Source organism: Homo sapiens, chromosome 6 (assembly GCF_000001405.40).
Source record: "Homo sapiens chromosome 6, GRCh38.p14 Primary Assembly".
NCBI classification, from domain to species: domain Eukaryota; kingdom Metazoa; phylum Chordata; class Mammalia; order Primates; family Hominidae; genus Homo; species Homo sapiens.
The window spans coordinates 69,069,774-69,096,877 of NC_000006.12; the positions used below are offsets into that span (position 1 = coordinate 69,069,774).

At 35.0% G+C, this 27,104-nt stretch overlaps 1 protein-coding gene across 1 annotated transcript in view; it reads left to right on the forward strand.

The window, feature by feature from the left end:
• Positions 1-27,104, forward strand: part of ADGRB3 (adhesion G protein-coupled receptor B3) — a 754,225-nt gene that overhangs the window by 434,492 nt on the left and 292,629 nt on the right. Inside the window, exon 17 of the mRNA NM_001704.3 lies at positions 6,222-6,265. Within this exon, the coding sequence (NP_001695.2) occupies positions 6,222-6,265 (44 nt within the window). The remainder of the gene's footprint in view (positions 1-6,221; positions 6,266-27,104) is intronic.

The window sequence follows — 27,104 nt, forward strand, 5'->3', positions numbered from 1 at the left end:
TATGAACAAAATATGAATTAGTCTTTTGCAGATCCAGTTAGGCAAATTGGAAATATTCTTGAGGAATCTCCAAAATCTATTTGGGTAGTTATATACAATAATAACAATCTTTAGTAGGGAAAGAGAGAGAGGATAAACTTAGCAAAATCCAGGTCATTTTAAAGTAATGCCTTGCCATCTAAAATTTAGGAAATTAAAGAGAGACAATACAGTGTCAGTTGAAGAGTCTTTCTCCCATTCACTCAACAGATCAAATGTCCAACTCACTGAACGATGTGACAGAAAAATTCATTCTGTAACATCTGACTCAGAGCACTGGAAATGTTCAAATAATTATGATGAAGTCACTGCCCTTCTTCATGCCCTTAGCTGCCTTGCCTATTTACTTGCTGTGCCTCCACTGAAAAGAGATTATTTTGTTTCAAGGAGGCTGTGAAAGGTACAAAAAAGTTCTGAAGTTTGAAGATTAGTAGTTTATTATGGCATATAACCACCAAGCATTCAAAAATCTGAATAAAAAATAGAGTAACCACTTTATTTCTTTTTTTAAGCAATTGTATTTGTAGTTTACAAATAATAATTGTATTGATCTGTGGGGTACAATGAGAGGTTTTGATATATGTTTACAATATAGGATTCTTAAATCAGGGTAATGAACAAATCCATCGCCTCACAAAGTTTCAGTAGATGCATGGGAGGAATATGCTTTAATGATCTATTGCACAGAATGGTGACTAAAATAAATAATAATGCATTGTGTATTTCAAAATTACTGAGTAGGTTTAAATGTTTTCAGCATGTTATTTCTGCCATGTGTATCATGAGCAGTGATTCTCTAAATTTGATGTGAAAAAAAATTATGGAGAGGCAAGAGTGCCATTATTAAAATGCAGATTTCTAGGTTTAGCCTCAACCTTAACATTCCTATAGCCAATGAATCTACATTTTCAGTATGCATCCCAGTTTATTCTGAAGTAGGTCTAGAGAAAACACTGTGAAAACATCATTAATATATCAAGAGTGTGATTAAGGTAGCATATGCATTGAATGTATTGAAAATTTAAAACACCAAGGAAAGTTTAAAGAAACTTGGTCATTTGTATTGTGACATTATTGTTATCTTTTCTGTAACCAACTTGTTTCAGATCTCTGCTCAAAGATAATCTTGCTGATGAAGCTTTCTTAATAGACAAAAGTACTATCCACTCTATTTTCCTAGTTGTACCTAGTCGTACCTCTCTCTCTCTGCCCTTCACTATGGTGAAATACATGAGGCAGGGACTTAGTTTTGCTCATCCTTGTATCACAGTGCCTTGAATGGTTCTTGGAATGTAATAGATGTTTAGTAAATGAATGCAGAATGGTTGCAGAATGGTTAGACTTGTTGTGATCATCTGCCTGCTCTCTCTTCTGACTTCTGCACTTTGTGAGGGTAATATAACATAGTTGAGTATTTCCTTAAAAAGACTTAGAAGAGAGTTTTGAAAGAATAAAATGAATTTCTAGAATCATTAAAAGTGAGGGCTAGAAAAGATGTCCAAATAACCTATTTTATAAATAAGAAAACAAAAGTTATGCAGTTCAACAAAAGAGAACTATCCATTGGAATGCTTTGGCAAAGCTAGTGATATATTCTACTGTCAAGTAAATATATTTGTTTGGTTGACGTTGGAACAGAGGAGAGAAGTAAAAGAAAATAGTGAAGTCACTCAAGAGTGGTATGTAGAACATCTATGGCAATTAGAAATTTGAGCAGTGGTGCATTTTTTAAATGCTTAAAAGTGAGTAAATAGAAACATGTAGAGTTCAGCTAGAGTTTTGAATGGAGCCAAGAGTGGCAGTTTTTGTTTGTTTGTTTTGCCAAAAACATGTTTGTCAAGAATATAATTTCCTTTTCTTTAGTTTCCAAATATGTGCAGTATTACCATTTTGTATGTCAACAAATACTATTTATTGATAGTTTGGTAAATTAATCTTCTTTAACCCATCTGTCTTGTTTACCTGAGAATTTTTGTTTTCTTAGTTTACTGCATTTGTTAAAACTACTTCTACAGATTAGTACTTAGCTTCTCTCTTTTCCTCTCACCGTGTCATTACATTTTGTTATATTGGGCTACTTCTCATTATTGATTTTCTGTAAATTCTTCATAACAGATCTTGTAGCAGAGTCCCTTTGAGAAAAGTAACTGAAAATTATAACAAATATTTTACAGGTACTTACTCAGCAAAACCTTTTAGCCAGCTTTGTTTTTTTTAATATTTAGAATCCATTCATCATTGGTTGCTTTGTTTTCCGTGTCACATTCTTATTATTTAAGTGACTAGTCTATTTAGGTACTAAGTTTTCTCTCATTTGTTTGTTCAGCTTATTTTTCTAAACTTCAAATGTTCGAACTATTGACCTTAGCTCACAGTCTCACATATTGGTGACTATACTAGAATAAATGTTTATTGTATACATCCCAGAATGTGTAGTGAAACTTAAGATTGAATGATGCATTTTGGAACCTATAATAATGCTCACATGTATGGTGTTTAAATTTTCATAACCACAAAAAGAAAGAGAAGCATGCAGCAGGATCTAAGAAGTAAGGGGTGAAGAACATGGAGAATAAAACTGAATGTTGACAAAGTCATGGAAAAAGATTAGAAGAAGCATTTCTCGTTTTGAAACCTTTTTTGAAGAATAAATCAGTTTCTTCAGGGTGATAAAAAGGAAAGAAGTATCCAAACAATTAAGTTTATGTGTTCTTTTCTAATTTTTTTTTTGTTGTGGCTTACTGTGAACAATCATTGTGAAATATTAAGCCTATAGTCCGTATCTTATATTAGTTTATATAAAGATTTAACTTAATCTACATTATACATCATTAAAATCAGCCAATTAGATTTAATGGATCTGTTATCTCAAGTTCCTCAGCTGCACTTGGTTTCTATATCCTTGAAATGCATACTCCCATACTCTTCACTGTGATGTTACAAGGATAATTTGTTTTCTATAAGGTTCTCTGAGCTCCTTTGAACAAAGCACTAGGTAAATATAGCATAACTTTATGACAGCATTTTGGCTATGCTGAGGATTTATCAGAAAGTCACAAGCTATATGAAAAATTCAGGTAAGACTGGACAGGATCTTATAAGATAGAGAAGAAACCAATTTAATACACCATTCCCCTTTCCTTCCATGGAACATCTGGATCTATGCCGTCTGTGAGAACCAGATAAGAACCCATTTCTTCTATGAAACTTGTGCTGACTAGCATAGGCCATGACACTCCATTCCCCCATTTGTCCTTTACTCAGTAAACTATGGCTAGTGATATTTATGTAAGCATTTTGCTTGGATTGTTACAGGAACATTCCATGTCTATGTTCCTCATCTACTTCTATAGGACTATGACCTTTTTTCAGGAAAGACAGTGTTATTATACTGTAGGAGCATAGTGTAGGGAGATATGAGCATTCCCTAACAAGTAAGACCCCACCTCATCAAAGGGCAGAAGCTGCAGGGAGGTAAGAAGTGCCCGGCAGGAGAGGCTCCAAGAGATGTGACTACCAGTGGGGCCCAGCAAGGGAGTCTCCTGAGAATCCACCCAAGTGCTGGTGATGTTGTAGAACTTTTTCCTTAGTTCAGCTAAGAGCCGGGTTCTTGTTACATGGCCATGAGAGATTAGGCTTGCAGACACTTTGAAGGGTGAGAAAAAAAAATGGAATTTACTGGGAAAAGAGGGGATGAAAATGAAACAGGGGCCCTCGGCAAAGCCAGAGTCCTGCTAGCTGGCTTCCCCCTGGCAGACTGAATTCCAGTTTCCACCCCAGGAGAGAAGGGGCCAGGCTCCTCCCCTGCAAATGTTGTGAACCTCCCAAGGCTCACCCAACTGCACATTCCTTATACTGCACAGGCCTTGGAAGTTCTGTCAGGGAGCCCTTCCCACCTGGCTGTCTCAGTGAGAAGAGTCAACTTAAATCATAAAATAGGGCCAGACTGCTCAGAGCTGACTTTGGACGTTAGTGGGCAGGTGAAAACCTTTTGCCTCCTTTACCTCCCCTCCCTCACCCCTCTACCACCCTGGCCACTGGCAGAGTCATGGCCGACCTCCGCCCCAGTCTTTCATCTGGAGGAGAGAAGATGATCTGACATTCAATCAGGTTCTGTGTTTTGATTATTTGTAACAGATCATTTTCAATTGCTAATGACATGACAATCGTGATTTAATGTGACCACCAAAGTCTATTATTTAAGAGTGGCTCAAAACTTCGGAGGTTTATTTTCAATTTATGACTAAATTTCCATCCAGAAGCAAGAAAAAGATCATTTTTTACTAAATAAATTTTAAAGGAAGAATGGGAAACAAAAACAAATGCATTTTCTGATTGCTTAAAAAAAAAAAGTAAGATACCTTGGATATGTGGCCTTTCAGGGAATTTTTAGAATAACTGGGATGCTGCAATATTGGAGTTAGTCATGTACCAATTAAAATGAATAATATGTAAGGTTTGAGTGAATTTCATACATTTTAGAACAGTAAGCTTACTATTTATTTCTAGCAAAAATTTAGAATGGACCTATCAGACAGCATTTACAAAGGCACACCTCCAAAAGAGCTTCTCTGGACTTTCAAAGATGTTGCTTTCCCAGATACACTCCAGTGATTGTCTATATGTAGACAACACTGAAGCCTGAGGGCTGGGTCATAGCTTGCTGGCAATGAGGTACGGTGTCCACCTGTGGAAGGAAGGCAGTGGCCTGTTTCAGGACTGTACTTTTTTTTTTTTTTTTTTTTTGAGACAGAGTCTTGCTCTGTCGCCCAGGCTGGAGTGCAGTGGCACGATCTCGGCTCACTCACTGCAAGCTCCACCTCCTGGGTTGACGACATTCTCCTGCCTCAGCCTCCAGAGTAGCTGGGACTACAGGCGCCTGCCACCACGTCCTGCTAATTTTTTTGTATTTTTAGTACAGACGGGGTTTCACTGTGTTAGCCAGGATGGTCTCAATCTCCTGACCTCGTGATCTGCCCTCCTTGGCCTCCCAAAGTGCTGGGATTACAGGCGTGAGCCACTGCGCCCGGCCTCAGGACTGTATCTTTTAACTGCCTTGGTCTGTTTATTATTATCAATGACCAGGTTGGATGAAGGCATAGATAATCATGTTTGTTTGTTTAATCCTGTAATGACACAAAACTTAAAAGCAATACTGAATGGGTGGGATGCCAAAATCAGGATTTTAAAAGCTCAGCAGAGATTGCAGTGTATGAGTAATACCTATCTAGCTCAGGAAGAGTCTACCCAAATATCTAATACAATCTTAGTTTGCATTATTAGGAAGAGAGCACCTGATTTGGAGAGGTAGTGGTACTGCTTTGCTGTGCACAAGTCAGACACAAGTGAATGATTTCCCTAAATACACTTTAAAAGTGTATGCTCCAGGAAATTAGTCATGTGGAGGATGAGAGAACTTGAAACCAACAGTATATGTTTAATGGATAAGAGAAGACTCTTCAGGCATATGACAGAATCTGTAGAAACATGTATCTAAATACATTAGAACTCTTCAAAACAGAAGCACATTGAATAATGCAGTGTGAAAAATCCATGGTGTTATCTTGAAGGTCACGGCAGGTACTCAATTCATAATTATTGAAGTAAATTTAAAATCTAGCATTTTCACTTAAAATTTCATTAGACATTATCCTATACAACCATGATATGCTAATTAAGAGGATATTGCAAGTTGACAAACTCCAGAAATGAACATCTCTTATCTCTAGGAAACATCAACTAGAGGCTGAAGAGGAGGTAGTGGTGGTGATTATACATGTGCATAATATAGGATATTTCACTGTGATTTCAATATTGTGAATACTGTAATCTTAAAGAAAGTAATCTAGCAACTAATGTTTTAGAGACATAAGTATAAAATCAAAATCGTCAAAATATGGACTTATGGTGTATGAGAGCCTTGCTTTTAACTTCCAGCAAAACTAAATACAAGTTAGAGTATTTGGAATAAAGATATTGTTTTCATAGAACTTTATAAAATGAGTCACTAAATCTATGAGAAACGAAATGCAAATTTCTTATAAATAATTAAAAAGAAATCATTAAAGTATTTCTTACCACAAGATAAGAAATCTTCCATTCTGTTTCTATTTCACATAATCCCTCAATCTTTTTATATATGTACTCAAGATATATGCATTCTTTCTCTGCTTTTTTTTTAGGGTACTTTGAATCCCTATTGTGTATTGTGGGATGACTCCAAAACGTAAGTGACAGATGTTTTCCTACATTACTTTGGGCTAAATTTTCAAAGCACATTAAGTTAGTTCAGCTGCCTGCTAGTTAACAGGAATATAAGTCAGTGGGATGTTGCATTCAGAGAAAAAAAAATCCTCTTTTTGAATCTTCAGGACAGCATGATGAATGTGTTTGTGTGTAATGATGCCATCAGGTTACATCTCAAGATAGTATTGCATTACCTACTGTGTAAGGCACATTGCAATGTGAATTCCATGAGGAATTTTTAAAAGCTCTGATATTTTAGAATTGATAGAAGCTCGAATGCCATCTTAACATCTTGTCCTAGTAATTCAGCTTAGCATTGCAGAATAAAATAGCAAGATCTATGGTCATTTAGCCAATATATTACTCACATGACCTTGAATCTATTATCAGAGTAATGCAATATTTATATGGTCCCTCCAAATTGTTTTGTGATAAAAACATTGAGTGACATTTAATTTTTTATTTGTATATTTTTGAATTCAGGCAGAAAAAATAATTGCACTAAATAAGTATGAGTAATTCTTCCATGTTATTTTTTTGTTTGTAGAAGTAATTGCAATATATCTAATCAAAATCACCTTTATTTTATTGATAATCCTGAGATTTTGATGTCTCAAAGAGCAGGAAAATCTGTAGTTAAGTCTTGGTTAGACTCCTATACTTTAAATACTTGTGTAGCTTATAACTTTTATTTTTTTGCTTGGTTTGATTTTGCATGAGGGGAGATAAATATCAATCAATCCCAAAAGTAATCCCACTCTATATATGCTGTCAGATGAAGCACCATATTGTTGGACTGTATGTATTCTAAGAATTTTCCTGGTGTTCTTCACCCCTGATATGATCTACATCTGAGGTTTTGTGATGCTACTTGTTTCTCACCAGAGAGTCTAGAAGAGGAGCATTTTTAGAATCTCTAGGAAAAGATTGAAACCTCGGACAATTTTCTCAGTCCTAGGATGCTGATATAATTTAAATTACAATTAATATTAAACATACTCTTTTGCTATAGGTTCTCATACTCTGGGTATCCTTTACTACTAGTCCAGTACAATAGTTAAGTACAGAGAATTCCAACTTGCCCTGTTGATAACATGAGCTGGATAGCCTTACTGATGTCATTATTATTTTTTTCTTTTTGGAACTTTACAGACAAATCCATGATAGTAAAATTTTTGCAAGCTTTCTCTCTCTACCAATAGCCAGAGAAGAATTTGGTGGTATAATCTAAGCTGCACTTAATATGTTATATAGCCAAGGGAAAAATAAAATGCTATAAAAATCTAGTTGAATGTTTTCGGCCCAAGAAACATGTGCTATCTTGAACTCCTGATTTTAGTTTCCATATCTCTGTGAATAATAAGCAACTTTGACTTAGTTTTATTATTATTATTTTTTTTTACTGGGTAGAATCTGCTTCTTTGTTGATCTAAACGGGGGAAAGTGTTAGTTATTCCAAAAGCCCCTTAAGACTATTAAAGGGACACTGCAACAAGAGATAGTTCCTTATTTTGTGCCTCCTGTTGGCTACTTTTCATAGACAGTATAAGGTGTTAAGTTGAATTTATCAAACTATTGGTTTCTGAGGTTAGCATTCACCTGAGGAATCAATCACACCTCCCTAACATCTGCTGATGACATGACTCTTATCTGTCACGAAGAATGTCTCAGCTTTACAACATTCAGCTTCTAAGTTGTCCTTGAAGAAAACTATCCAGGGAGAGGAAATGTGTTTAGTTGTCTTTCAAAGAAGATAATCTCAAGGGATTGGTGTAGTTCATGTTTTCTTGATGTATCCGAAAAGTGATCAAAAACCTTCCCATTGTGACAGAACTTCTTTCCCATCACAGTTTTCGCTAGATTGTTTCATTATTAAAAGTGTTTTTCTGGGTGAGCTTTAAACAATGAAGGTTAAGGCAACTTTATTTCCTTTCTTCACATTTGTTCTTCTATTTTGACTATATTTATATATACACAATAGTTTTATTGATGTAATCATATTGAATTTGAATATAGGTCCTCTAAATATAATTAATAGTGAAGAGATACTGCTACTTCTTTTTATACAGAAAACGGCTGTCTTAAATATTTTCAAGATTGCAGTAATAAAGTTCAAATTAGAAGTTGTGCTTTAATTTTGGTTTATCAAGTTGCTGTTATTTTTAATTTTTAAAAATTGATTTTTAATTACAAAAGCAATGCACGAGTATTTTTTACTTGTAAAACTTTAAGGCAGAACTGTTAATGTAAAGAGCCCCACTGATCATCACCATCTTGGGCCTCCACATCCACCCATATCTCTAAGATCATTCCTATTTACATTTTGTTGTTCATAATCTCATATATCCATTTATACATTGACGTGTATTCATTCATAGACATTCACACTATTTTTAAATAAATGTTTTCATATTGTATGAACACTTGACAATCTCAATTTTAAATTCAACAAATATCTTGGAAAATTTATTTTACACTACCTATATTTCATTCCTCGTATCTGCTGCATTGTATAGGTATATCAAAGTTGATTTACTATTCTCTATATTGATGACTATTGGCATGATTTCTAATTAATTTTAGTCTCTAAACTGTGCTTCTGTGTATCTCCTTGTACATCTCTCCCTGAGGATATCTCTGCTCACATAATCCAAAATGTTGCCCTGTTGTTCTCTTTATATAACCCCGTTTGATACTTTCACAGCATGCATTCCTTTTTCTTATTTTCGTTTGGTTACCACCTGTCTTCCTCACTAGAAAATAAGCACCATAAAAGAAATACTTTGTCTTTCTTATTCATCACTGCACTGTTGGTGCCTACTATACCTGCATATAAGATACATTCGATAAATATTTATTGGCTACTTTGGTAAAAGAATGAATGTTTGCATGTTTCGTAGGTACATTTTCTATCTAAGAATTATTCCCATCTCTATTTGATTTTATCAGTTGATAAATATTTCTAGCAATTATTAGAGCTAACATTGGAAATTTGATGGAAGAATGTTTCAGCTTGTTAAATAGTAAGATCCATTATAAACAATTAATTTTATTTCCAAGGGTAATCTATTACCCAGATTATCTCAAACAAAGGCATTTTATTTTACTATCATTAGACAAAACATCTTTAGACAATTTAGAAACATATTTGTTTTGTTCTGGCTCACTAATTAACAAGATATTGAAAATGCTTCATTGTATGTGACAGATGAAATAAATTCAAAGTGATTTTCTCACTTCAGACATAGGCTTATTGTAAATCGGAGAATATTTTTTATTCAATAGATGCAGAAAAGACCTTCGATAAAATTCAACACCCCTTCATGCTAAAAACTCTGGATAAACTAAGTATTGATGGAACATATCTCAAAATAATAAGAACTATTTATGGCAAACCTACAGCCAATATCATACTGAATGGGCAAAAGCTAGAAGCATTCCCTTTGAAAACTGGCACAAGACAAGGATGCCCTCTCTCACCACTCCTATTCAACGTAGTATTGGAAGTTCTGGCCAGGGCAATCAGGCAAGGGAAAGAAATAAAGGGTATGCGACTAGGAAAAGAGGAAGTTATATGTTCTTTTAAAGTGGCTTACAAAGTTATCATTTGAGTGATTGGTAATTTGCACATTCTTTGAGCTACTCTAAATTTGGATTTTGAGTATTAGATCATGCGTGGTGACTACATTTCCTGGAAAACCTATAATCCCTCCCTTAAATTAGCCTGTGGTCTTTCTCTACAGATCTTGTAACCATCCATCTAATACTCTCAAGTCTGTGAAGGACTACGTTTGTTTTCAGAAAGTGTTTCGTTAATCCATTTGTAATTTATTTACCTATCTTGTTGTTGAAAACAAAAGCTTCTAAGGACTAGACTTCCCTATTTTTTCTTCATTTCAAATTGATTTATTGGAGTTGGGAGTAGCAACAGTCACATCTTGACTGAGACTGACACTGGCTTGTTTTCTCTCAAAGTTAAGTAATTGAATTGAACTAATTTCTCTCCTTTGCTTCCATTATCCTTATTTATTCATAACCAGAATATCTTTCTCTCCCTTTGTCATTCATCCTGGAAGTCAAAATTTCATTTACCTCACAGTATAACTCCTAGCAAATATAAAACTAACACTTCAACCTCATCTTCTTATTTCAGGGAAGTTGACATCATTTTCTTTGCTCTGTGAATGATTGATATATCTATACATTAGGAAGACACAATATTATATGCCTTAAGAAAAATATGTTCCTCTTAGAAATTTTAAATACTTATACAAAGTGTTACTATTATTGGATAGCCAACCTTTCCCTGCAGGGAATAACCAAATGATAAAGCTCTTTTATATGGCTCTGTTCAAACTGGGATAGAGTGGGACCAAACTAAGATGAACAGAAAATAATCTTCTTATAAGTATGATACAGGAGCAAAAAGAACAAGAAAGAGGTCTTGTTGGAGACTTCATTTAAGCAATTAAGAAATAAACCAAGAATAGTAACCACGTAAAACAGCAATATCATGGTCTCATTGTTTGGAGAGAAATGTGGAAACATCTTCTACAGACTCATAATTACCTAATTGAAGCCTTTTCGTGAGCAGCAATGAAAAAAAAAAGTCTGTATTAAAAATATTTAACAATGTATAGCCATCATTCCAGTAGAAAACTATTTCTAGAATTTCCTGGTGATTCAATTAACCATAGACAGGAATTGAAAACTATTTAACTTCAAGAAGTTATGTTACCTTTGTAGCACAGGTTGGTCTGTTTAGTACATGTTAACATGTAACTGATTACATTATTACAGTCGATACTTTAGTAAGAAATCACAATTGTATGACAAACGTATGATGTTCAGTCTTCTAAATTAACATTGTTATGTGCAGTCTGTATGTCCAATATATGTTCTAGGTGCCAGCATGTTCCATTTTACTGGATAGTTCCTAAGGTCTTGTAGTTGTTCTTTTCTGTAGTTAGAAGGGTAAAAGAATAACTAATTTTGGCTGACACTTGTAACCTTGCCTCAGTAGGTATATTCGTAGTCAGTATGTTGCAGAACTGCAGAAGCAGATAAGTTAAATTTTTGGAATTTGCATCTAAGATGTTAAAATTCCATAGAACTTTCCATTATCCATTCAGGTCCAATCATTAATTCTCTAATATTATAAAACTATGTTATGCTTTTTGTCCCTTGATTATATTCACACTGAAAATACTGAAAATACTAGACCTTTACATTATCAAAATACTAGTCCTTATAAAGTAAAATTTACCTGATCTCCAAAAAATGAAATTTATATTATAGTCAAAGATGCTAATGCCAAACTTTAGAATGGTTCTTGGTTTTCAAATTTATTGTGGATAAAATGTTTGCTTCTGTTTGCAAAGCAACCCTGCTCTTCTAGAAATATTACAAAAAGCAATAGAAAAAATTTAATTTTCTAAGAAAATAGAAATACAATTAAAGATTTATTGGTGAGAAACTAAATGAAACTTTTACTTTTTGCTTTTCTGTTTATACTATACATTATTTTTTGAAGTTTTTTCATATTCACAATTGTGTGTTTTCTCATAAAGCCATTATAATTCAGCTTTCTTCAGGTAAATTTTTCTTTTTAATTTCTTAAAATTTAAAAAATTATCTTAGAATGTTTTAAGTTACATCATAGATTTTATGATTTTAAATCTTAAATGCTTAGTTTCTTAAAGGTGTATTATTAAATTTGTTAGCACATAAGCAATTCTTTTTTAACTGATAACGTTTACATAAATGCTTCTAATATTATTAGCAACCCATTATGTCCATTAGCGTGAGCTATAAGGTTCAAGAAATGCTGCATCATGCCCTCAACACAAATTCTCTGGTCTAACATTAGGAATCAAATGGCATCATGTATTTTTCATTGTAATTCTCACCTTGTCCATCTAACATTGGGGTTTGCACACTACAACCTGTGTCACAAATACAGACTGCTGCATGTTTTTGTAAATAAAATTTTATCAGACACAGTCATTCTTATTTGTTTATGTATTGTCTATTGCTTCTTTGGTACTACAACTGCAAAGTTGAGTCACAACAGAAATCATAATGTCTGCAACTCCTAAAATATTTACTATTTAGTCTTTTATAGAAAAAAAAATTGCCAGCCTCTGCCCCAAACAGTGCTTTCCAGCACTTTTTATATCTTGGCACACAGAAAATATTGATTATACATCATATTGAAGTAAATGAATGAAATATTTGCAAGCAGGGTAAGGGTAGGATGTCCAAGGCTAGAGAGGATCAATATCTCCATTAGTTCTGGAAATTCTCTCACTTTTTGAAATATAGATTCACCCATAATTTGTCTCATTCTCATCTGTAATACCGAATAATATTGTTTCCTATCCTTTTCATCTCATAACCTCTCTTCCATAGTTCTACTTTTTTCCCCTCTCAGTTATCTATTTTAACTTACTTTCAGTTCATTAATTCTCTCTTCAGTTTTGTCTAACCAGTTATTTAATTATCCATAGAGTTTTAAATTTGGGTTATCGTCATTTTTTATTTCTAGAGTTTCCATTTAATTACTTTTGATCTGGTAAATTACTTTCTAGGTTTTTCTTTTATGCATATTTTTGTAATCTGTTGTATTTCTTTTAATGTATTAAGCATAGTTATTTTGTAATCTGTGGCTGACATGTCTTATATTTGAAACTTTTGGGGTTTGTTTCTGCTCTCTTTTATTTCTTCCAATTCTCACTCATTGTACTTTATCTCTTAGTGTGCTAGGTTATGTCATGTTAATTGTCCTTAACAAACTATTGGTGAGAATTCTTTGAGGCCAAGGATAAAAGTGCATTCCTCCAAAAACAATTCGTATTTGCCTCTGCTTATTACTTGTTGATATTGCATTAACCTAGGATCCCTTAAGCTAAATAGAGTCTAGAGGTTCCCTGCATCACTCAAGTGTTGTGAACCCAAGCTGCAAATCCTAGCTGGATCGTTGTCACATTTTTCCACATATAGTTCAGAATTTATAGAAATATTCAAATGGGAAAGTTGATCTGAAAAAAATCTTATTGCTGGAAATTGGAAATTTAAATCCATATCTCCTCATATGTATAGTTCTTGAGTAATACATCTCACATCTCACAGCATGCCTGTAGAGAGTGCTGCCCTAAAAAGCTTTGTGTATATATCTTTTATAATCCTTATATTTTCCGCTTTATTTTGTAGCAATTTGATATTTCTTTTTAGACTAAAGTATTTGAGGACTAGAAGTGTGTCACATTCATTTTTGTAAATTATACTTTGTTTACTGAAGAGATTTGCAACTAGTTATCAGTAATGTGTTCATTCATTTGACAAATGTTTCTTGAGAACCTATTATTTGTTCTGCTGTTTAAGGTGTCTGGCACATATATCAGTGAATAAACAAAAATAACTTTTTTATGAGACTTAGATGTGGGAGGGGCTGGGGGATGAGAAGGATATAAACATGATAGATATACAAATTATGTAATGTGTTAAAGGGTAAGAATTTCATGGGTGGATAGATCAAGATGAGAATAAGTAATGCCATTTAATTCAATTGACTTTTTCATATTCCTTTGACTGACTTACTCCAAGATTCCACCATTCATTTTTACAATTAATGTTTACTTAGCAAGCATCGAAAATGTGTAAAGGATCCAGGATCCATCTCCAGCTTTCATGAGCCACCTAATTAACTGTTACTTTTTTTTTTTTTTTTTTTTTGAGACAGAGTCTCGCTCTGTCACCAAGGCTGGAGTGCAGTGGCACGATCTCGGCTCACTGCAATCTCTGCCTTCCAGGTTCCAGCGATTCTCCTGCCTCAGCCTCCTGATTAGCTGAGATTACAGGTACATGCCACGACACCCAGCTAATTTTTGCATTTTTAGTATAGACGCAGTTTCACCATGTTGGCCAGTCTGGTCTCAAAGACCTGACCTCAAGTGATTCACCCACCTCGGCCTCCCAAAGTGCTGGGATTACAGGCATGAGCCACTATGCCTGGTCTTAATTAACTGTTACTTTTGGTCATTGAGTTCTCTGTCCATTTCAGCTAGCTTTCCTCTAGTGTTTGATCTTTCATCTTTTGTCTGCTGTCTGCTTTTCCCTCTGGCCCCACGGTGATTGTTATCCCAACTATCCAGTTAAATTATATAATGCTTGAGAAGAGGTAGATATAAACTATGACATGAAAACTAAATATTTTCTGAAATTAAGATAGCTAAGAATTCTGGCCAAAGAGATCTTTATTTATTACAAAAGAAAGAAAAACCAAGGAGCCATGTGTGTTAAAACAAAACAAAGCAAACTACCAAATGTGTAGAATCTACTCTCTGATATTAATTTTCTAGCATGGTAATAAAATTCAGAAATGAAAACTGGCTTTGTTCATAGGTATTTCTAAATCCAAAACATTGCCAGTGATATCTAGATTACTATTTCCTATAGTCTATTATTTAGCATATGAATAATGATCTGGAAAGACAACAATTTTAAAATAAATAATATTTTTCAAAATTCCTCTCTATAGTTTACTGAAAATCTTATAGGAGATAGGGGCTTTCAGTTTGTCAGTAAACATTTTCTATCTATTTGAGGTTATGAAATTGAAAATTTGCATCAAATTTTTAATTAGTAATATGAAATAAAGTATGATAATAAAAATAATTGCAATATATCTCATCACTCTAAGCTCCAGATTACTGAAAACATCAAAATGGGCATAATATTGCCTATGGCATGGAGGTGAATGATAAGAATCAACAAAAAAGTTCTCTAACAATGCTTGGTCCAGTGACTAAAGTATGGGAGGTGCTCAATAAAGGTTTGGGGTATGCATGAGTTGTTTGGAAGTTGTTTGGTATGCATGAGTGGCTTGTGAAAGAATCTACCAAGGAAGGATAGTTATTCCTATTCTCTTGTTTGAAAAATGGGTCTTAGGTATCTTGAAAAGTTATTTTTTAAAGGTATCATATACTTTGGGAAGAATTTCCAGAGTGTAAAGGAAAAAAAATACCCTCGGTGAAAATATTGCGAAAGATGCCAACCAGAAGATTCCTACGTGTCATAGGAAGCTCTCATCAGTGTCTCTACTGTGTGAAATGTACACTTTGCCTCATCCATTTCTCCTTATTCTCAGAAAGTCATTGAAGTCGGTTTTGAAAGTATTTACTTAAACAAAGTGCTCTAAAAATCAATAATAGCAAAACTTGGAATTCATCCCATATTTCTCACCAATTTAGACTGTTCTCAGGGACTCTGGGATGATTTCAGGAGACCTTTACACAAGAATTTTAAAGTAAAATTATGTTATTAATATATTAATGGGTATAGTATTAATAAGAGCAACACAGAGCTGGCTGGTAAGGATAGGCCCCTGGGTAACCTCTCTTAATTTTCTAATGTCTGTGGTTCTATTTTGAAAAGACTTTATATTGCTGAGAATTTATATTAGGTAATTTTAGCACTGTATTTTTCCAGTCATTTGAATGACTCAGACTAATTTTTTTTTTCTATTTTAGCTTTTATAAACAAAAGACTGGACATTTTCCTTAATATTTAATTTGATATTTCCTTTTCTTATTTTAAACCCCCAATTCAGAATTGCTCACTTGTACTATAGTTAATAACCATTTTGCAGGTTTGGTGTTCCTCAGTAATTAAAGGTACCTAACATTGACTGTTTTAGACATTATTAACAAGCAATCTATTATGAATTTTCAAATATCTCCTAAAATTCTTACTAATATATTTATCTAATTATTTAAAATATAGATTTGAATGAACATCGGTAAAGATAAGATAAATTTAAAGAAAATTATTTTAAGGTTTGGTAATAAATATACAGGTTATTAATCCAACTTTGGAGACCATTGAGGAAAAGTAATAGAATAAAAATGCATGTATCAATAATGATTTTGATTAAAAAAAGAAACCTTCTGTTTAATGATTTTCATTTGATATAATGGACATAAGTAATTATACTTGAGGGTTGTAAATCAAGCAATAATATTTTAAAATTTATATTTGGAGTCAAATTGAGATTTTATTGCAGACAATATATTTTGCAAAGAATGAAAACTAAAGATGGCATTTAAAAATATACATAAACATGGTCTATAAAAAAGTAATTTGGAAATTTACATTTTAGAAGATATTAGTATCTTCAATATAATAATAAAGCACAATATTGCCACTATATAGTATATAGAAAGCTGTTTGCCCACTCTCTCTACTTTGTACAAGTGGTTGTTTTTCAGTATGAACTGGTGTTGTTCAGATGTTTTTTGATACTCTTAGTAGAACTGGGCATTGGCAAGAATTAGGCAAATTTCACTGCCCTGAATTTTCACTAGTGTAGTAAGCTAGCAGTAGTCCGAAATGTGATGTACTTTGTGGGCTAACTCAAAGTAGATGGCACTATTTCCTGCCACTAATACTTTACTTTGTCATTATAATCTTTAGCAGTGAGATTATGTTTACTAGGTTTTATGATACTGTGTTTGAGAATACAGCCAAAGGTTTGAAAGTTAGTGCCAAATTTTTTTTGGTTTGGTTGGGTCTTTTGGAGAACAGGAAGAGGGAAATAGGAGTGGCAATGAAGAAAGATTTCTAAAAAGTGCATTTTTGTTTGTTTGTCAGAAATTTTTATTTATTTAAAGAAATAACATTGGTTATTGATTAGACATATATCATTATGGTTTAGGGTATGAGATATAGAGTCCAATGTGGTATTATTAGTTTAATGTGTATCTTCTTGTGGCAATAGTGAACAGTTTCAAAAGATGAATACATATTTTAAAGGGGGAGAATGACATAGCATTTTTAACCTTTTCACGCCAGGAATTGCTGTGTGTGGATATCTGTGTGCTGAGTCAAAGAGGCTTAGGCTTTTTTGTTAGAAACGTAATTGTAATAAAGTACCATGTAGTCTCAGAATTCTGTCCAACAAGGTACTACTTGCTTAAGTCTATAACCTGTCAGCTTCTTTTCCAGAATTATACACACATATAGATCCTTTACACGTTCTAACTTGAGCCTACACTAAAATTGGAATTCAGAGAAACACCCAAGACTGCTCTGGTATCTGGTACCTACAAAAGGAATTGCATTTATTTTCTTTCATTGTTGTGAACTTCAAATCTCAGGACCCGGTAGTTGAGATTTAAAAGATAAAAAGTTTAACATTACTGTTCTAAATTCATTACCATTCACCTCTCTTAATCTAGAAACACATGGAAAATAGAAGAATATCTGATAATCCAAACAGCTTTGACATACTGAACTGATGTTAGTGCTATGGTCTGAATGTTTGTGTCACCCCAAAATTCATATGTTGAAACTTAATCCCCAATGCAGTGTTATGAGGGAGGGGGACATCTAAGAGGTGATGAGCTCATGGTATTTTTGCTCTCATATAAAAGACCCCAAAGAGCTTGCTTATCACTTCTGACATATCAAGAAACATAGAAGGCACTATCTATGAGGAATAAGCACTCACCAAACACTGAATCTGCTAGTCCCTTGATCTTGGACTTCCCACCATCCAATAAATTTCTGTTGTTTATAAATTACCCAATGTAAGATACTTTGTTATAGCAGCCCAAATGAACCATGAGAGTTGAAAAGTCAAAAAAGAATTATTTATGAAAAAAGAATAGGTAGAAAGAATTGGAAAATATCTTAGACAACTGGCATGTATTGCAGCTAAAAGAAATACAATACCTTTGTTTAGAAAGGCTTGACTACCCATGAGTCTACGTCACAGGTGAGCAACCATCCTTTTAGTAATTACTGTAATTAAAAGATATTTCATGCCTTAGCTTAATGTATTTCCCGTGTTAATAGATCTTTTCAGCCTGACCTGAGTACAGATCACAAGCCACTAATATGTATGGTCTGCTTCAAAAACTAAGGACAAGAAAATCTATTTTCTATAGTTTCAGGCATGCAAAACTGAACAGACTGTCTTAAATGGAATTGGTTTTCTCAGGGAGGTCTCTCCCTTTTATGGATTTCTTTGGATCCTTCCTATATGATCCATTTCACTTTTTCCAACACCTGTATAGTTCTCAGAGCAGAGTAGCTATGTAATAAATATTTACTGAATTGAAATGGAATGAAGTTTTTAATTTTATGATAAATTTAAATAGGTTTTCTCCTTGTCTTTATTGACACATATGTTATACAAAAAGTGTCAAGTTTTATGTATCAATATACGTTAAAAAAAACACAATTTCTGAGTTGATAGGTAATCTAGTTCAATATATACAATAAAGCAATCTTATGTGTTTCTTTGTTGTTGTTGTTGTTGTTTTTGTTTTGAGATGGAGTCTCGCTCTGTCACCCAGGCTGGAGTGCAGTGGTGCAATCTCAGCTCACTACAACTTCTACCTCCCGGGTTCAAGCGATTCTCCTGCCTCAGCCTCCCAAGTAGCTGGGACTACAGGCAGGTGCCACCACGCCTGGCTAATTTTTTGTATTATTAGTAGAGATGGGATTTCACCATGTTGGCCAGTCTGGTCTAAAATTCCTGACCTCAGGTGATCTGCCTGCCTTGGCCTCCCAAAATGCTGGGATGACAGGCATGAGCCACTGTGCCCGGCCAATCTTATGTGTTTCTGAAAGTTAAAATGTTCTTGCTCTTTTTCTTTTCTTTCAAGAGAGAAAAAAGTTTATTTTGCCACAGAAAATACAAAGTGATTCCGTGTTCATGGGAGGAATTCATAATTCAGGCTCTTATTTTCACACTGCCTTTCAACAACACCTACGCCACCTAGAATAATAATGTGCTAAGCTGCAGTGCCTGCAAAGTATTTCAATAAAAGAAGGAAATTATTTTCATAATTACTACTAAGTTCTTAATTTGTTCTGCTAAATGGTAAATCAGCCATAGTTAGTGAAAGAAGCAATTCTTGTGTGTTGATATTACAGGTTTAGAAAAGGAGGTTTGCAGTTGTCTTGAAATACTGAAGAATGATAATTTAATTTAAGAAGACAAAGGGTTAATTAGTGGAAGTTCTTTGAATCTCCACAGAGGAAGTACTGCATTGCTTTCTGATATTTAAAATGCTCAGTAAAGTCATTTACAGGTTTCTACTATTATTGGAAGTAGACAGCAGTATTTTCTAATGAATTGTATTGCAATGTGTCTGCAGGACAGAAATCAGTTCAAACTATAATTAAACTTGTTAAACTTGTCAGAAATATTAACATGAGATATATATTGAGACCTACTTTGAACACAGGCATAATTATTGACTTTATAAAGAAAGAGTACTATTTCAGATGTTTTCATGATGAATGTCAATTAGGTGCTCATAAATTGTATATTAAAGGGAAAATTTTTGAATGAGTGAATATTTATATAATTTTTTTCTGAGCTAATCTTTCCCTTGCAGGATACCTAGAAATACATGGACACTTCTTAGCCTCTATTGTTAGGGTTAAGTAAATTATTGATTCACTAATATATCTCATTATCCAGCATCACTGGAAAATAAAAAAATAAAAACTTATTGCTGATAAAGGAATTTCCAGTTAAGTGAGCTTATCTCTTTTATAACCACTTTACAATTCTACTTATTTAATTTATCTTTGTAGGATGTACTTCACCTCCTGTACTGTGAGCATGGTCCAGGCTGAGATAATGCTGCTGCCCTAGAGCTCTGGTTCTTTCTCTACCAAGTAGGAGCATCTCTCAATCTTGACACTGCAGGGTGTTAAGCAGCATACCTGGCTTCCACCCACTGGATGCCAGTAACTCTCCTGACCCTCTTAGTTGTGATGGCCAAACATGTCTCCAGATATTACCAAATGTTCGTGAGGGTGGGGAGAGGCAAAATCACCCCAGGTTGAGAACCATTGATATAGGGGAACTTGTTGAAAATTCAAATTTTTGCCCCCAACTTAGAATAACAACCTCTTGGAGCTATGTAAGTACTGTGTGCATTTTTGTTTTTCTATTTTATTTTGTTTTTTAGCAAGGTAAACTTTCCAAGTGGTTATAACACATTAAATTTGAGAATCATTATTCAAGTAGCCTTCTCTGCTTTTCATTTTCTAAACTTCTATTACCTAGGTGCAAATCAAATAGCTAAACTGAGTGTGTAACCTTAATATTACATGTATTTCAGTTATGTGGGTTATTCAATACCTCATCTCCAAGAAAGTGCCTGGACTATGAGGTCATCGCCTTCTTTAGTATCTCTGGGACCTTGTCTGTTGTTGAGCCTGTTTGGAAACTTGGCTGCAGTAAATTTGACTGTAATAATGTCCTGTGCATACCAAAATGATGAGTGATGTCATTGGACAGGCTATCCTTTGGCTGAAAGTGCACTATGGCCTTGCTTTCCAGTATATGTAATGAATTTTCCCAGACTAATCAAATAAATAACAACCATAGTGGATGAGGACATAGCCATTTACTCATTCACTTTTTCACACACTCATTTATTCATTTATTATTTGATTCTTTCATGCATATATTTATTCAAGAACCATTCATTGGGTACCCAAAATGTTGGTACTGGGGACACAAATAGTGAACAAGGTATAGGACTTGTAATCTGTAGGGGAAATGTTAGATATGCGGCCACAAAGTCAAATAAAGATCATGGTTTTCATTAGCAAAGGGCTATACCTGAGCTAATTAGCTATGAAAGGTTAATTAACAACTTACCTATTCAGCAAAAGAAATAATATCTTGATCGTTTGGATTGTTTGGATTGATTGCAACCATCATGCAATGCCTAATGGTTGCCCCAATCACAGTTAATGCTATAGGGGAAATAAGCTTTACAGTGCTATAAACATATTGCCCATATTCTCACTATTAGAAAGAAGAAACTTTCCTGAAATTTGATTAAATTAATGGTTTAATTTCAGGCATAAAAGTATATTTAAAAATGCCTTCCAAAATGAACAGACACTTCTAAAAAGACATACATGCAGCCAATAATCATATGAAAAAAGGTTCAACACCATTGATCTTTAGAGAAATGTAAATCAAAACCACGTGAGACACCATCTAACATCAGTCAGAATGGCTATTACTAAAAAGTCAAGAAATAACAGATCCTAGCGAGGTTGTGGACAAAAAGGAATGCTTATACACTGTTGATGGGAGTGTAAATTCGTTCAGCCATTGTGGAAGACAGTGTGGCAATTCCTCAAAGACCTAAACACAGAAATACCATTTGACTCAGCAATTCTATTACTGGATATATACCCAAGGTAATATAAATCATTTTATTATAAAAACACATGCATGAGTTTGTTCATTACAGCACTTTTCACAATAGCAAAGACATGGAATCAGCCAAAGTGCCCATCAGTGATAGACTGGATAAAGAAAATGTGGTACATATACACCATGGAATACTATGCAGCCATAAAAAAGAATGAGATCATGTTCTTTGCAGGGACATGGATGGAGCTGGAGGCCATTATCCTGAGCAAACTAACACAGGAACAGAAAACCAAATACCACAGGTTCTCACTTCTAAGTGGGAGCTAAAGGATTAGAACACATGAATACATAGAAGGAAACAACACATACCGGGGTCTTTTGGAGGCTGGCGGGTGGGAGGAGGGAAAGGATTAAGAAAAACAACAGTAGGTACTAGGCTTAATATCTGGGTGATGTATAGAATACAAGAAACCCCCATGATACAAATTTACCTAATTAACAGACCTGACTTTGTACTCCTGAACTTAAAATAAAAGTTAAAAAGTAAATAAATAAAAATTAACCTTCCATATAGTCTATTAATTTTAAATAAAAATCATGTTAAATGTTTGGAGTATTTTTGACATGATTAAAAAAATGTATAAAAATAACTTTTAATTATAAAGTTGGAAAATAATGTTTGAATGAGCCATCTGTTTAAGTTCCTCCAAAGCCTGTTTCTCTATAAGCAGTCTGCAAATGTGGCCCCTCTTCCTGAGCCCTAGATTTCCATTTTTTAAGCTTCATCAGAGATTTCAACAGTTAAACCTTTTCTCTCCAGCTTCTTCAGTCTTGGCCTCCAGAGACTTCTTCACCTTTGTTAGCAAAGATTCTCCAGTATCTCTTAAAAACAAATAGCCTCCTTTTAACCTATTTAAATTTTGTCATGATCTTCACAGGCTTGAGTCATCTGTCCTATTCTCTTTACCCTTCTTCAAGGTCAATGTCTTGCCTAAAGGAGTACCAGAAACATCTAGTGTTCAGATCATTTCCATTGTCTATTTTGGGGAAAGATAGAAACAGTAAACTGACCCCATATTCTTATTAAATTGTTGATTTGAAGTAACGTTCTAATTAACTTTTCATGAGTTTATGTCTTTCACCAAATAGACTGTAAATTTCTTAGAAATTGAGACTCAAGTTTTATTCATCTTCCAACCCCGTCCCCACCCTATTCCAAACCTGTACCTACCTCTGCACACAGAAAGTTATCCAAAAAGACTTTGGAGATTTGATTTTTTGATAATAATTGTAAGCAACATGTGTGAAAAAGATTTTGTGTGCAAGTTACTGGCTGGGCACTGAGGACATACATATTAATAAACACAGATCCTTCCCTTAAGAAGTTACAGTTAGTGATGAAAACAGGAACGTAAAGAGACGGTTACAGTTAATAAGCAAAAAAGTACATAGAAGGCAGAACCAATCAGACTAGGGGACCCAGGGAGGTCACTCACAAGAAATGATACCTGAATTGGTTTGTGAAGACATTGGACGATTAAATGTTAGGTGGGTGACTGGGGGAGGGAAGGGGGAGAACGTTTTCAAAAAAGAACAAGGAGTTTGTGTAATGGTACAGAAGGTGGTGTTAGAGCACTTACCTTGTTGAGAAAGGAGCCAATGTTTGGTGGAGAGGGGTGGGCAGCCGAGATTCAGGGGTAGAGCAGTAGACAGCCTAGGTTCAGGAGGAGAGGGAGTAGGAAGCCGACATTCAGGGGTGGAAGGGTGAACAGCCTAGGTTCAGTGGAGGAGGGGTGGGCAGCCTAGTTTCAGTGGACTGAGGAGGATAGCCTTGGTTCAAGGAAGAGCGGGGTGGGCACCCTAAGTTCAGAGATAGAGGGGACTGGAAGCCTACGTTCAGGGGTACAAGGATGGGCAGCCTAGGTTCATGGAGAGAAGGGTGGGCAAAACAGGCTAAGGGAGAGAGAGGTGGGCAGCCTGCGTCCAGGGAATTGAGGTAGCCAGCCTTGGTTCAGCGGGAGAGGGTTGGGCAGCCTAGGGAAAGGGATGGGGTGGGCATTCTAGGTTCAGTGGTAGATGGGTGTGTTTTCTAGGTTCCAGAGGGGAGGTAGTGGGCATCTTAGATTCAGGAGAGTCATGTAGCCTGGGTTCAGGGGAAGAGAGGAATGTGCAGCCTCAGTTTAAGGAGGAGATAGACAGCCTAGGTTCAAGGGATAGGGTTTGGGCAAACTTTGTTCATAGATAGAGTGGTTGGGCAGCCTAGGTTCAGGGGGATATGGGGTTGGGCAGCTTAGGTTCAGGGGGAGAGGGGCGAGAGGCCAAGGTTCAGGGAAAGAGAGGGATAGATAGCATAGGTTCAGTGGGAGATGGGTGGGGAGCCCAGGATCTAGGGAGTGGGGTGGGCAGCCTGGGTTCGGGGGGATATAGGGTGGGAAACCTACGTTCAGGGGCTAGTAGGTGAGCAGCCTAGGTTCAGGGAAAGAGAGGGTGTGACAGCCTAAGTTCAGGGGGATAGGAGTGGGCAGCCCAAGTTCAGCAGTAGAGGAGTGAGCTGCCCCAAGATGCAAAACTCATGAGAACTAGAGATGTAAGAATCGTAAGACCTGTGTTTGCTTTGCTAGGGAGTTTGTACTTTTTCCTAACAGTTATAGAAAGCTGTAAAAATTATTTAAATCAGAGAAAAGTACAAGGAATTATTGTTTTTAAAAATATAACCTTAAGGTAGTGATGGGGAAATTGAACTAGAGTGATTGACTGCAGGCTGGAAACTGTACTGATGCTCTTACAGGAATCCAGGAAGGCAGACAGTCAGCTGTTTGCACAGTGGAGGCAAGGTGAAGAGAGGTGGACAGGTTAGAGAGGTGTCTACTATGACCGAAACCAACAGACTTTGGTGGACAACTGGACATGAGGCAGAGGGAAGGAGAAAAGTTGAGAATGAGTCTCAGGTAGGTCTGATCAGAGGGTCTGTACAACACCTTCTCCATGCACACTCTTATTCTATTCTGGCAGGAAATTTAATTGGTGCATTTTGATTAAACTTCCAAATTGATGGCTCTCTTATGCTCTGACTTGTAATAATTGAAATGATTAAAGATGTAGTTTCTTCTTTCCAAAGCTTTTCACTTATCAGTTGCTCCTGTTTTATTGAGAAAGGTGCTTGTAGTGATGTTATATTAAGCCAAACTACTTTCTGATTTGGTTCAAACAGACTAACACACAAATGCTAATTAATATTTAGCATTTAGATATCTGTATCCAAATTAAATTGGCACCCAGAGGATGAAAGATTGAATTATTCAGCTGCTGTTGAAAGCTATATGTCATACCGTGTTTACAATTGTAGTTATCAGAAGTCGGCTTTCATTATTCTACCAAATGTGTTTATTTTCTCATAGAGCATTCAAATCTTCATGGTTGGCTATCTATATAGAAGATAATATTAAAGGTTTTAAACTTGAACAATTTATATAAAATAAAAAAATTAAAATCTCTAGTCAGATAATGTCATTTAAGGGCCATTTTTGGATGCCTTCCCATATGCAAAGATACTACCAATGTAGTATCTTTTGCATGTGTTCCCATATGCAAAGATCAACCATTTCTGAAGCAGAATGCTTATTTAGATCATTATAAAATGAAACTGCACACTTTTAAGATGGCTTAAAATAACACAAGTTACATCATAACTTTGACTTAAGCTACGTGAAGAGAACAAAAGATATGGACCTAATAGAAGGCATCAGTGTGACCTTTGTGCTTTAGGACTTTTTCAAGCACAGAACAATTTGAATCCCTCTTGAGTGTGTATTCCTTTGTTCCAATTATTCCAAGTCAGAATTAATAAACCCCAAGTAATTGAATGGTCTTATCATTTTCTGTAGGTTGCTTTTTACATGTGTCTCCCACAATGTCTGCAGGTTATTCTAACATTTAAAAAGCTGGATTAAATGGTAGGAATATGTAGAAAAGCAGCAGATTTACTGAATTGTTTTTGAAATTTCTAATTGTTTTGAAGTAGCAGCCACAATGGGAAAACTTGATCATGGGAGGCCTTCAACAGAAGAGAGTTCTGAACCAGATTTTGTAAAGATAGAGTGCTCTGTGTCCACACAGATGGAGAGGAGCATGGGGGGCAGGGGGCAGGGGGCAGGGGCATGGCTGGCAGTGGCTTATATGTGGAGGAAAGCATCATAAAGTTCTTTAAAGGCACACCCAACATATTTAGTTAGTGAAAATAATGAAAATGAAGCTGGTAAGGCAGGGAAGACTGGTTAGCAAATGATATTAAAGTCCAGGCTAAAAAGCTGGGGTTTAGCAATGTAAGATTTTTCCGTTTATCACGTGTTCTAATAACTTTGTCTGTCTGGAAGAAAATGCAGTGCTTTGGGATATTTTTACATTGTATTTCATGAGTTCTGTCGATATAAAAGACATTAAGTGACAAAGTAATCACAAAGTGGTTTTCAGAAATAGGCAAACTGAGATGCGTACTGAAATGTATTGCTTCAATATCACATGATAATACAACATACACACACGCACATGCACGCGTGCACACACACACACACAACCCTCTTGCTTGTTTGTACTGTTGTATTGCATATGAAATTTCTAAAATTTCTTCATGTCCTAGGATTATCACACTGGTTTTAACAATTTCTTTGATAATATTGTATAGGTTCAGAGCAGATATAAATAATGAGCAATAATCTAATGTAAGACCAGAGGCCTAGAATACCTTTAAAGACAATTAAAAATCAGCACTTTTATTCATGGTTCTATATCAGATGTTTCTGTGGCTTACATTTCATTTTTTTAGTGCAGATTTCCATTTCTTCCTGGAACTTTGAAAATAATTCAGTTGAAGTGTTTTAAAATGACAAGGTCTGGAAGTCCCTTTAGTTCATAAATGAATATTTTAGCTTTCCTAATTTTTCACCACTAACTGTTATATTCAAAGGTTTAAAATTTAATTTACCATTTTTATATTGTGATGCCTAAGATCAGGTTTTAAAACCAACCCAGGTCTCAAAGCTACGTGGACTTGCTTTAATTAAAGACAATTGTATTGTGTCCAAGAAAGAGGGTTTTTATTGTTTTGGGTTTTTTTTTTTTTTTGCTTATCTTTATTAAATGCATCATCTTCTATATGCATCTATTATGCCCATCCAGATTTTTCCTGAGATCAAGAAAACCATTAACAATTATGTTAACTATTTGATGCCACTAAAATACTTATAAATAAAAACTTCCCTGAATATTAGCTCCCCCATTGTCCTATTTTTAAAAGTGTCTAAGGAGTTACCTGGTTAACTTAAAAGTGGGTGTTTTTCCTGACCCCCAAGTCACTATAATCTTGCTCATAGTTTGTGCTTAACTTTTTTTCTTATCAAAATCTGTTTCCAGTTCTTTCTACTGATATGACCCTGTTCTCATAGCTGCTAGTCAGTTTTAAGTCACCGGTATACCCTGCCCAAATATGGTAGGTCTCAGCTTCACTGTAGAAGATGACAATACCTTTCTGACCTCTTTAAGTGCTTCATTTGATCTTGGGGAGCAGTTCAGGCATTCAGAGGTTTTTCTCATGTGTTTCAACCACACTACACACTGCATTTCA